Source organism: Homo sapiens, chromosome 7 (assembly GCF_000001405.40).
Source record: "Homo sapiens chromosome 7, GRCh38.p14 Primary Assembly".
Lineage (NCBI taxonomy): Eukaryota > Metazoa > Chordata > Mammalia > Primates > Hominidae > Homo > Homo sapiens.
In genome coordinates, this window is record NC_000007.14 from 79,126,040 (window position 1) to 79,139,391 (window position 13,352).

General features: G+C 37.3%; 1 protein-coding gene across 12 annotated transcripts in view; it reads right to left on the reverse strand.

The window, feature by feature from the left end:
• MAGI2 (membrane associated guanylate kinase, WW and PDZ domain containing 2) overlaps positions 1-13,352 on the reverse strand; it is a 1,436,613-nt gene that overhangs the window by 1,108,985 nt on the left and 314,276 nt on the right. The gene's annotated exons all lie outside the window — the stretch shown is intronic.

Here is a 13,352-nt window from a genome sequence, read left to right on the forward strand (position 1 = left end):
GTGAAAAGTGTAAAGCATTCCAACAAAGGGTTTTAATGTAGTTTTGTTTTTTCCTTTTTGCACCCATGCAGTTGATTGCTAAACATAATAGTCTGATCATAATGCTGGATAAATGTACCTTTAAAAAAATAGAGGAAGATGAAGTAATGGGGACGAAAGCTTCACTGATCACAGAGCTCTCCACACTTGTAGTAGGCAGACACTATTTCGTTTCCTCCTAGAATGCTTCCCAGACTCCTGGTTGTATTCCTTTGGGAATTCTTTCCCATTTATATGGTTATGGTGGGACTGTGAATCAAGGTGTGTGTCCCATCCAAGCCTCAAATGAGTGTGCATATAAGATAGTTGGGGTAATCAGTCTTTCCCAAGGCTGCTTGGTGTGAACAAGAGCTAAAGTTCTCTTACTCATTTACGCTAATGGAGGCAATGTGATGGGAGAATAAAGCCAACAAAGTAAGAGAAGTAGAGAAAAGTCGAGCTGAAAGAGGAGAGATACAGTGACAGAGCCATGACACAGTATCAGTCCTGGATCTAGATATGCCTGAAGCCAGAGACTTACAAATTCCTTTTTAAATTTTTAATAGTCTACTTTGAGTTGGGTTTCATTCATAGGTGCCTGAAAGAGTTCTAACTGAATCACTTCTTTTTTGAAAAAATGTTCTTATCTTTCTCATCTCCCTTTTTTGGCTAAACACCAGTTGTGCCCATTTACAATGTCCCCCAGACTTTTTTTTAAAAAATGTTTTGTACATATTAAATAATTTATTATTATTATTATACTTTAAGTTTTAGGATACATGTGCACAACGTGAAGGTTTGTTACATATGTATACATGTGCCATGTTGGTGTGCTGCACCCATTAACTCGTCATTTAGCATTAGGTATATCTCCTAATGCTAACCCTCCCTCCTCCCCCCACCCCACAACAGTCCCCAGAGTGTGATGTTCCCCTTCCTGTGTCCATGTGTTCTCATTGTTCAATTCCCACCTATGAGTGAGAACACATGGTGTTTGGTTTTTTGTCCTTGTGATAGTTTGCTGAGAATGATGGTTTCCAGCTTCATCCATGTCCCTACAAAGGACATGAACTCATCCTTTTTTATGGCTGCATAGTATTCCATGGTGTATATGTGCCGCATTTTCTTAATCTGGTCTATCATTGTTGGACATTTGGCTCATTTTCAAGTCTTTGCTATTGTGAATGGTGCCACAATAAACATACGTGTGCATGTGTCTTTATAGCACATGATTTATAATCTTTTGGATATATACCCAGTAATGGGATGGCTGGGTCAAATGGTATTTCTAGTTCTAGATCCCTGAGGAATCGCCACACTGACTTCCACAATGGTTGAACTAGTTTACAGTCCCACCAACAGTGTAAAAGTGTTCCTATTTCTCCACATCCTCTCCAGCACCTGTTGTTTCCTGACTTTTTAATGATTGCCATTCTAATTGGTGTGAGATGGTATCTCATTGTGGTTTTGATTTGCATTTCTCTGATGGCCAGTGATGATGAGCATTTTTTCATGTGTTTTTGGCTGCATAAATGTCTTCTTTTGAGAAGTGTCTATTCATATCCTTTGCCCACTTTTTGATGGGGTTGTTTGTCTTTTTCTTGTAAATTTGTTTGAGTTCATTGTAGATTCTGGTTATTAGCCCTTTGTCAGATGAGTAGGTTGCAAAAATTTTCTCCCATTCTGTAGGTTGCCTGTTCACTTTGATGGTAGTTTCTTTTGCTGTGCAGAAGCTCTTTACTTTAATTAGATCCCATTTGTCAATTTTGGCTTGTGTTGCCATTGCTTTTGGTGTTTTAGACACGAAGTCCTTGCCCATGCCTATGTCCTGAATGGTATTGCCTAGGTTTTCTTCTAGGGTTTTCATGGTTTTAGGTCTAACATGAAAGTCTTTAATTCATCTTGAATTAATTTTTGTATAAGGTGTAAGGAAGGGATCCAGTTTCAGCTTTCTACATATGGCTAGCCAGTTTTCCCAGCACCATTTATTAAATAGGGAATCCTTTCCCCGTTGCTTGTTTTTGTCAGGTTTGTCAAAGATCAGATAGTTGTAGATATGCAGCATTATTTCTGAGGGCTCTGTTCTGTTCCATTGGTCTATATCTCTGAAACTTAACCAATCTCTCTCCTTTTTTTTTTGACCCAGAAACTCCAGGATTCACATATTATATGGTTTTCAGCATATTTAGTGTTGGTTTAGTTTTTACTGGTAACTTTCTTGGGGTGTAATCTTCCTTACCAGACATGTCAAAAAGTACCCCTAAGTATGCTATACTATTTATAGTTCAGATAATAACATTACAAACAAAGTAGTGTGTTTTTGCCACAAGATATACTGCTTCAACTCATTTGAATGTTAAACTTTTGAAAACATTTTATTTTGAAATAAAAACTCTAAGTTGTAAGACACAGTGTCACTGTCACTGTGATCCTGCTTTTCTTTTATATTAACTAACTTGTATCATCATCCTTATCTAATATGAATTGAATTACAAATATGCTACAGGGGAACTCCCTGATCAGGAACAAGCTGAAATAGTACCTTGTTTTCAACATTATACTATTCTGCTCCATCTCTGAAAATGCAAGGACACATTCATTAAACAGGCTTGTGAGAAAACAGTCATACATGGTAAAGGTAAATTTATTCAATTTGATTTGTAATTATATTTAAAATTAATACTCTGTGTTAGTCCAGATTCTCCTAACTTATGATGGGGTTACATCCCCATAAACCTATCATCGTAAGTTGAAAATTTCCTTAGTTGAAAATGCATTAATACATCTAACATACTAAACACCATAGCTTAGCCTAGGCTACTTTATTTTTTGAGATGAATTCTCACTCTGTCTCCCAGGCTGGAGTGCAGTGGCATGATCTCGGCTCACTGCAACCTCCATCTCTCGAGTTCCAGCGCTTCTTCCACCTCAGCCTCCCGAGTAGCTGGGATTACAGGCAGGCACCACCACGCTCAGCTAATTTTTGTATTTTTAGCAGAAACGGGGTTTCACCATGTTGGCCAGGCTGGTCTCGAACTCCTGACCTCAAGTGATCCACCTGTGGCCTCCAAAGTGCTGGGATTACAGGCGTGAGCCACCATGAGCCTAGGTCACCTCAAATGTGCTCAGAACACTTACATTAGCCTACAGTTGGGTGAAATCATATAACACGAAGCCTATTTTATAATAAAATGTTGAATACCTTATGTAATTTATTGACTAATGTACTGAAAGTGAAAAACACTTTCTACTGAGTGTGTATCACGTTTGCACCATCATGCCATCCAAAAATCTTAAGTTGAATCCTCATAAATTGGGAACTGTCTTTAAATTCATGCATAATATCAAATCTAGTACTCCAAATGTGATTAACAAATAATGTTTTTTAGCACTTTGGTTAGCAACGTAATGCAACTTTCAGGATTATTAAATCCATCTCCATTTATTCTCCATCTCTATTCACACAACAGAGTAACCTGTCATGAATTGCAATTATATTTATTACAACTGACCCTCAGAAAGAACTAGTTTAAGTTTGCTTAGTGGTGACAGAAGGCAATTATAATGATAGCCATTTCAATAGGGATGCTTTAAATACGATGCTTGCAGAAAATAAGTCTCACTGCTTTAACAGAATAGGCCACAGAACTTTAAAGATGCAAAATGACAAAAAGACCAAAGATATTATAGTATTAAATGAAAAATTCAGAAGGCAATATTAATGTGAACTTAGTCATAATAATGAAAGAGGTTTCAGAGCAAGAAGATAAAGGTGTGAAATGAAAATCTTGCTGGGTGTCAGCAATGAAATGCTGCACATTTCTTGTAAAACATCACTGGGCTAGTTTGCCAAATTAGCTGACAAATGTCTGCCATAATCATGCAATTTACACATTTGTACTCATTTTAGAATTAGTCTCACGGTTATTTATTTTTGGAGTTCTGTTAGGTTATGAAAATGGGCTAGGCATGGTGGCTCACACTTGTAATCTCAGCACTTCGGGAGGCCAAGATGCGAGGATCAGTTGAAGCCAGGAGGTCAAGGCCAGCCTGAGTAAAAAAGTGAGACCCCCCTCACTTTGTTAGACTCTCTCTACAAAAAAAAAAAAAAAAATTAGCTGGCCATGGTGGTGGGCACCTGTGATCCTAGCTACTCTGGAGGCTAAGGCGGGAGTGTAACTTGAGCCCAGGCTTCAGTGAGCTATGACAGCGCCATTGTATAGTCTAGCCTGAGTGACAGAGTGAGACCCTGTCTCTAAAATAAGGAAGAAAAGAAGAGAAAATACTTGGATTTTTTATTTCTTTTTATTTTTGCCTTTTCCTGGTAATTAACCATATTTTCTAAGAAACCTGAAGAATGAAGATTATTCGGCTTTTCTTTTGCAGGTGCAATGCTGCCGCAACTGATTATGTCATTTGTGCACTGCATAAGGATGCCGCGGCTAAGAAGCACCCACGCATTCACATCACATGCATCACATATTTGCATCCTGATAATTTGCCAACATTGAGAGTCTAGTGTCTACTTCATCTCACAATACATCAGTCTCCTCATTTGTAAGATGAGATCAATAACAGTGCCCTACATCATTGAATTGTGGTGAGGATTAAATGAGTTAATGAATATAAAAATTTCAAATGTTGTTAACTATTATTATTAACCAATTTTCACTCATGACCTTCATGTGCCATGTGCTAGAGACTGTACTAAGTGCTTTCGATGATATTTTGAAAACAATAAAAGGTAAAGGAAACAGAAGCTCACAGAAGTTAATTAACCAAGCCAAAAGGTAGCTTGGTTATCTGTTGGATTATGGAACACTAGTCTTGAAGAAAGTCACCAATTCATTCATTCATTCATTCATTCATTCATTCATTTATTCATTCACTCACTCATTCATTCATTCATTCATTCCAGATAAATTTATAGAAGGAACAGGGATGAGGATCATGGAGCAGGTACTAGGCTAGTTACAATGCAAGGTGTTAAGTGATCATTTAGCTCTCTAGGAAAGGTGCTGTGAAAGGAAGAATTCAGTCAGTATAGCAAAGGGAACACAAAGTCTTCATAGAGGAGGTAATTTAGGGGAAAGTAAGGTTGGAGGATCTCCCAAAAGCAGGGTCCAACATCTCCTGGTTTTTAAAATCAGTGCTGTTCATACTGTTCTTTCTCCCAATTCATCGGTTCTGGGCTGAGTGGCCAACATGGCTAGTGAGTGTTAAGAGATTGAATGATAACATCAAGATTAAATCAACACAGGTTTCATCTATACTGTAAACACTTACTACTGCTCCAAGAAGGAGTAGGTAGGAAGCTGTGAATAATGGCACACAAACCTTCTCCACTTTTGATAGAGAAACCCAGAGGACGTGATAAATACTAATATGTATCTGAAGAGTGCTGGATTCCTTATTAAGTACTTTGACATTCATTATTTTGTGGGATCGTCCTTACAATTATTTCTGATAAAGTTAAATGTTGTTACCTGCATTTTACAGATGAGGAAACTGAAGCTCTGTCAAGCTGAGAAATGTTAGAGCCTGAATTTGAACTTGGGTTTGCTAACTCTAAATTTGATGTTGTTTTCATTGTATCTTATTGCTTTCCTTTCAAGGAAGTTATGCAACCAGGACTAAGAAAAAACTACTTCAATTACAATAGTATTGTAGCATGTCTTTCGTTTTTGAATTTTTTAATTTTTAAACTTTCTTGAATTTAAATTGGATATGTAACTGATGAAAATCTAGTTAAAATCATTTATTTCTATTACGATGTCTATTTCAATGTTTCGCAAATTTGAATGATAGCCGTACCCTTTCAAATAAAAAAATTGATTACAGGTCTCTAGTGCTCTCTTAAATTATATTTAGTATAATATTACTTAAATACGTGTAAACACAAAACCAGATATTAATTCATTTTTCCTCTAGCTTTTATAAAACATTTTATGACTGCAAACCACAACAAAGTTACAAAATAAATACAAATAATACTTTAAAACCCAATACAATTCAAATTAAGAATATTAATTTAATGTGATAAATGGTAATATCTTGCTGAAGGTAGATCACTCGCACTGGCTTTTTAAAAATTTTTTGTTTCAATAGTTTTTGAGGTATAAGTGATTTTATCATACATGGGTGAATTATATAGCGATGAATTCTGAGATTTTAGTGTACCCTTCACCTAAGTAGTATACATTGTACCTAATGTGTAATTTTTTATTCCTAGTCCTCCTCCCACTCTCCCCCTTCTGAGTCCTTAAAGTCCATTATATCACTCTGTGTGACTTTGCTTACTCACAGCTTAGCTCCCACTTATAAATGAGAACATATAGTTTTTGGTTTTCCTGTACTACTTCACTTAGAATAATGGCCTCCAGATCCATCCAAGATGCTGCAATAGACATTATTTCATTTATTTTAATAGGTGAGTAGTACTCCATGGTGTATACATACTACATTTTCTTTATCCACTCATTAGTCAATGGGCACTTAGGTTGGTTCCACATCTTTGCAATTATGAATTTTGCTTCTATAAACATATGGGTGTAAGTGTCTTTTTTGTATAATAACTTCTTTTCCTTTGCGTAGATACCCAGGAGTGGGATTGCTAGATTGAATAGTGGATCTACTTTTAGCTCTATGAGGTAAAAGTTTAAACTGTATTGTTTTTCAGAGAGGTTTTACTAATTAACATTCCCAACCAACAGTGTATAAGCATTCCCTTTTCTTCACATTCACGCCAACATGTATTGTTTTTTAACTTTTTAATAATGGCCATTATTTCAGGAGTACGGTGGTATCTCATTCTGGTTTTAGATTGCATTTCTCTGATGATTAGTGATGCTGAGCATTTTTTCCTATGTTTGTTGGCCATTTGTATATATTCTTTTGCGAAATGTTCATTCATGTCCGTTGTCCACTTTTTGATGGGATATTTGTTTTTTCTTGATGATTCACTGGAGTTCCTTGTAGATTCTGCTTACCAGTCCTTGTTGGATGTGTAGTTTGCAAATATTTTCTTCCTTTCTGTGGGTTGTCTGTTTACTCTGATTATTATTTCTTTTTCTGTACAAAAGCTTTGTAGTTTAATTCAGTCCCATTTATTTATTTTTGTTTTTGTTGTGTTTGCTTTTGGTGTCTTAGTCATGAATTCTTTGCCTATGCCGATGTCTAGAAGAGTTTTTCCAACATTATCTTCTAGAATTTTTATAGTTTCAGGTTTTATATTTCAGTCTTTGATCCATCATGAGCTGACTTTTTTTTATAAGGTAAGAGACAGGAATCCAATTACATTCTTCTGCATGTGGCTTGCCACTTTTCCCAGCATCACTTATTAAATAGTGTGTCCTTTCCCTAATTTATGTTTTTGTTTGCTTTGCCAAAGATCAGTTGACTATATGTATTTGGCTTTATTTCTGGGATCTCTGTTCTGTTCCATTGTCCCATATCCTTATTTTTTATACCAGTATCATGCTGTTTTGGTAACTACAGCCTAGAAACATGTATTTATATATTCTATATCAATATGTTCTGCAAATCATTGTCATTAGTAGTATTATTTTTCTAACTTTTAACTTATTTTAACCAATACTTTACCAAAATCCATTATATCCCATAATATAATACCAAAAATAAAGATAAAAAGCATGCAACAGAAAATTTTTCAATTATAGAATTACTACTATACTTAGTGCTAAAACCCAAAATGGTGCATCTTCAGATAGAATGCAGGCAAGATACCCGCTCAAAGTGAGCATCAAACTAACTGCTTACAGGAAGGTTCCTTTGTATGCCCCATGCCTAGTACTCCAGGGGTACCACTGGGACCCATGTAATAACTAAAGTGTCTATCACTTTTCAAAATACGTTGGAAACCTTTGTCTTTATAGAGCCTCACAATTTCATCTCTTCTGTTGCATCAATTGTATAATACATACACATATCTTCATTGTTTTTCTTATTAGCCTAAGACAAAGCAATACAAATTCTTCTGTACTGTAGGATATTAATAATGTTAAACCAAAATCTCAAATGATTAAAGTTAAAATCTTAGTCTATTAAGATGTTTTTGAATTGCAAACCAAATTAAAATTGCAATACTGACTTTTTAGGGGTCCTCTAGGTACCTACTTTATCTTGAATCTAATTACAGAAAGTGAACTGAAGATATAGTGGAATACTCAGTTATTAGTTGATATAATAATCAAAAGAGAAAAATTTGTTAAAAACGCTCACAGGCATCTGTTTTGTCCACAGATTTCTCATCAAACCCTCTTTAGTACTGACAAATCAAATTTTCACTTTTCAGTAGAAGTTTTTTACTCCTAAATCTTCAACTCTCTAATTCCATGTAGAAGCTTAAAGATGGTGTGGTTGTTGCTTGCTGACCCCTCCCACTTAGATGAGTTTCAGGAGGTTGGTATAATGTATCTCAGCTGAAAGCCTCATAGTCCATCATCTCAACTGGAAATTCTATATAAAACTTTCAAACAATCTCTTACCTTCTCTATATCGCACATACTTAAGTAGAGAAAAATAAACTTTCTTTCCCTTCCAATTATTTTAAAATTCAATTATGGCAACCAAATTGAAAATAACCAATGAATTCTATGTTCTAATATTGTCAAATTGCTTTGCAATCATCAATATTAAGATTTAAGAAAAGCAAACAAGTAGAGAGTATTAGAATACCTGAAGTTGAGTATAATTAGATGCCAAGTATGAAGGAATGTTTGTAAACAAAATGCTGCTAACAGCATAAAATAATTGGCATTTTCAATAGAAGGCTTTGACATTGGCTGGTTTTCAGATAATAGATATGATTCCCTGTTTGTGTATTAATAGAGGGTTAGATTAGCCAGGACTTGCTAATGGGAAAATAAAACACACAACACAAATATTTTGAGATGGATAGTGTTATGGGGTTGGCTGGGTAAGAATAGATGACAAAGAGTGGAATAATTTTCCTTTAATATAATTTAGAGACATCCTATATTTGGAGAATGAGTCTGTCTGCACAGTGTCTAAAAGTCCACCATCACTATGGTATCAGGTGGTGTGACTATGGATATGATTTATATGTAAAGTGGCTGAAGGGAACAGGACTAAGAATGGTGGTCAGCACAATTTTAGGTAAAGTTGAGTGAGATAGTAAAAACTGTAGGAAAAAAAACAGTATCAGGGAAATGGATCAAGTTATTGAAGAGATATTCCAATATTATTTTGAAGTAAATATCAATGATCAGATTATTTATAATATTGCAGAAGGTGTGTTACAAAAGGAAATTACATAGATTTTTGTTTGCTTCTTGTAGCCATCTTATCAAAGGAAGAAACTCTCAGAGACATATAACCCTCTGGATATATAGAAACAACACAAACTCTTGTATAACACTCCAGTGAAATATTTATAGCACATACATGTCAAAAAATAGGGCAATTTATGGGATAGAGGAAGAGTAGCTTTTAGACTAAATGGTGAATTCGGCCCCAGAATCCTCCTCTGCTTCCCCTGCCTGTTGCTAGCCCCTTGACATCTTCCTTTTCTGTTTCTTCCTCCATCTGAAAAACAATCTTTACAAAAAGGCTTTGGGCAGGGCACTGTGGCCGACAGATGTAATCTCAGCATTTTGGGAGGCTGAGGTGGGATGAGAGATAGCTTGAGGTCGGGAGTCCGAGATGAGCCTGGGCAACATAGCAATACTCTGTCTCTACAAAAATTTAAAAAATTAGCTGGGTGTGGTGGCATACTCCTGTAGTCCCAACTCCTTGGGAGGCTGAGGCAGGAGAATCATTTGAGCCCAGGAGTTTGAGGCTACAGGGAGCTGTAACGATGCCACTGAACTCCATCTTGAGTGACAGAGTAAAATCCTCTCGAAAGAAAGAAAGAAAGAAAGAAAGAAAGAAAGAAAGAAAGAAAGAAAGAAAGAAAGAAAGAAAGAGAAAGAAAGAAAGAAAGAAAGAAGGAAAGAAAGAAAGAAAGAAGGAAAGAAAGAAAGAAAGAAGGAAAGAAAGAAAGAAAGAAAGAAAGAAAGAAAGAAAGAAAGAAAGAAAGAAAGAAAGAAAGACACAAAAGGCACTGTATACAGTCTTACTTTTAACATTTAAATTTACCAGAGGGAGATGAAAATAGTAACATAATTCCAAATGTCTTATATTTGTCTTTCCTATTTCCATCCAACACTATGTACAAGGTAAAAGGTTTTCAGTCAGATGTCTACTTACCTAGGGCCAAGAAAGCTAAGTTCTAATCTAGATTCTGTCTTTGATACACTGGGAGCTTATTTCCAATAGCCTCATTTGCCATAATTTTGCCTTGGTTATGAAGAGAGTGAAGGCATTAAGAAAGACATGCAAATCTGCAGTGAACATTCAAGGACTAGCACCTTGTCTCCCATATGTTCAGCCTAATTCCGCCTCTCATCAGCTGCTGAAATAACCTCATATTTGCCTCTTTTCAGACACTAGTCAATGTGTTCTTTTAGCCCAGGGAAGAAATTCTTCTAAATAAATCCTGACACCTATTCAGACCTATTGATGGCAAATATTACCTCTTCTAGGATACCCTCAAATAGACTGAACTCTTCTCCTTTGGATTTTTGAAAATTATTTGAGTGAACAATTCTAAGTGCTCTGGTTACATTTTGTTATATAAGGCTACTCATTTTACTTTTTTCACACTAAGGTTTATGATGGAAGTAATTGAGTTTTTTAAGCTTAGTGTTTGTGTCATTCACAGGGCATGAAATGTTGCCTTACACATATATGTGCACAAGGCAGGAGTAATAACTTGAACAGGGAGGAGGACGAGAATGAGAAGGTTGGAGATGAAACACTTGCCCGGCCTGATAGCTCCCTGATGCCTCCCATTGGTCCCAGGGGTCCACCAGTAGGAAAATCTGTTACTGTATTTACATCAAATACAGATTCTTTTTTTTTTGAGATGGAGTTTGAGTTTTGCTCTTGTTGCCCAGGCTGGTGCGATCTTGGCTCACTGTAACCTCTGCCTCCCAGGTTCAAACTGAGGCTAAACTGAGGCTTGACTGAGGCTGGGGTGGCTGTTTTCTCTGGCTTATGTGGTGGGAAAGGACTTCCCTGCTAGAAGAAACCTCCAAACCCGTAAGACCCTTCTCTGAGAGGGGAGAAAAGAGTGGGCTCAGTTTACCTAAAGTTAATCACTGTGTGCCCTTCACAGTCAGTGCTAACATATAAACACTAACAATTTTCATAGGATTTATTGTTTTCATCAGGCATGTAACTCTCTAATGGCCATTCTGAGGGATGCCATGGGAGCTCTTAATCCTGCTGGTTCTATTCCACACCCTGGACTACCATGAGATGTTGAGGGGACATAACAAGGTACTTCTTCCACTTCTGGGTGTTTTTTGTTTTTTTTTTTTTTTGAGACAAAGTTTCATTCTGTCGCCTAGTTTGTAGTGTAGTGTAGTGGTGTGATCTCAGCTCACTGCAACCTCCATCTCCCAGGTTCAAGTGATTCTCCTGCCTCAGCCTCCCGTGCAGCTGGGATTACAGGTAGGTGCCACCACACCCAGCTAATTTTTGTATTTTCAGTAGAGACGGGGTTTCACTATGTTGGCCAGGCTGGTCTCGAACTCCTGACCAGCCTGCCAACATGGTGATCCACTCACCTCGGCCTCCCAAAGTGCTGGGATTACGGGCATAAGCCACCATGACCAGCCCAAATACAGATTTTTACACCCTGTGGTAGACAGAATAGTACCCCCCACCCCACAACATATGTCTATGTCTTCATCTCAGGAACCTGTGAATATGTTACCATACGTGGCACACAGGACATTGCAGTTATTGTTAAATTGAGACTCTTTAAATGGGATGATGATCATGGATTATCCTAGTGGGCGTAATGTAATCACAAGCACACTTACAAGAGACAGGTACCAGGTTGAAATGATGAGCTTTGAAGATGGTGGAAGGGACTGCAGGCCAAGTAATGTAGGTGGCCTCTGGAAGCTAGAAAAGGCAAGAAATGGATTCTTCCCTAGAGTCTCCAGAAAGAATGCAGCTCTGCTGACTCTTGATTTTAGCCCATATGACTCATTTCCGACTTCTGACCTCCAGAACTGTAAGATCGTAAATTTGCATCATTTTAAGCCATTCCATTTGTGGTAATTTTTTTTCATAGTAGCCATAGGAAACAAATACAGACCAGGCTCAAGAACTCATATTCTCTGGATGGAACCTACAGCTGCCTTTTAAGTAAGCTACAGCTACACAGTTGACTATTATGCTCAACATTTGAGACCCTCTTCTTTAAAACTGTATTCCCTTTCTGTGCAATGGAATTTAACTACCCAATGTTCCAGTCCCTAAGTCCAAGTAAAATTGAGACCATTATTTTCATAAAATTTATCATGTATGAATACAAGAGTGATTAGGAAAGTAGTATAGGCTTCTCTCAAGGCCCTCCTTCCATATTCAAATGTAAAACTATGTTTGAACAATGGCTTTCTATTTCAGACTGAAGGGAATTCCCCTAAAATTCACAGGTTGAAGCCATAACCCCCAATGTGACTGGTCTTGGAGACAGGGCCTTTAAATAAGTAATGAGGGTTAAATGATGCCCTAAGGGTGGGGCCATAATCCAATATGACTGGTGTAGTTATAAAAAGAGTCAAAGATGGCCAGGCGCGGTGGCTCAAGCCACCTAACCCAGCACTGTGGGAGGCCAAGGCGGGCGGATCACGAGGTCAGGAGATCGAGACCATCCTGGCTAACATGGTGAAACCCTGTCTCTACTAAAAATACAAAAAAATTAGCCGGGTGTGGTGGTTGGCCCCTGTAGAATGGCGTGAACCCGGGAGGCGGAGCTTGCAGTGAGCCAAGATCACAGCACTGCATTCCAGCCTGGATGACAGAGACAGACTCTTGTCTCAAAAAAAAAAAAAAAAAAAAAAAGAGTCAAAGACACCTGGCATGTGTGTGTACAGAGAAAAGGCCATCTGGGAACACAGAAAGAAGACAATCATTTACAAGCTAAGGGGAGAGGCCTTAGAAGAAACCAAACCTCCTGACAGCTTGATCTTGAACTTCCAGCCTCCAGAACCACAAGAATATAAATTTCAATTATTTCAACCACCCAGTCTGTGCTCTTTTGTTATGGCAGTCCTAGGAAACAAATACATGTTTGTAACCCAAGTTCCTATTATTTCTATTTACCTAAAAGGGTTAATCTAATAGTTAGGATTTCCATTACCTGACACTCATTTACCACTCATTAAGTACCACCTACCATGCTAAGGTCTTTTCTTCTATAATCCTCCCAACAATTCTACAAAGGTGATATTATT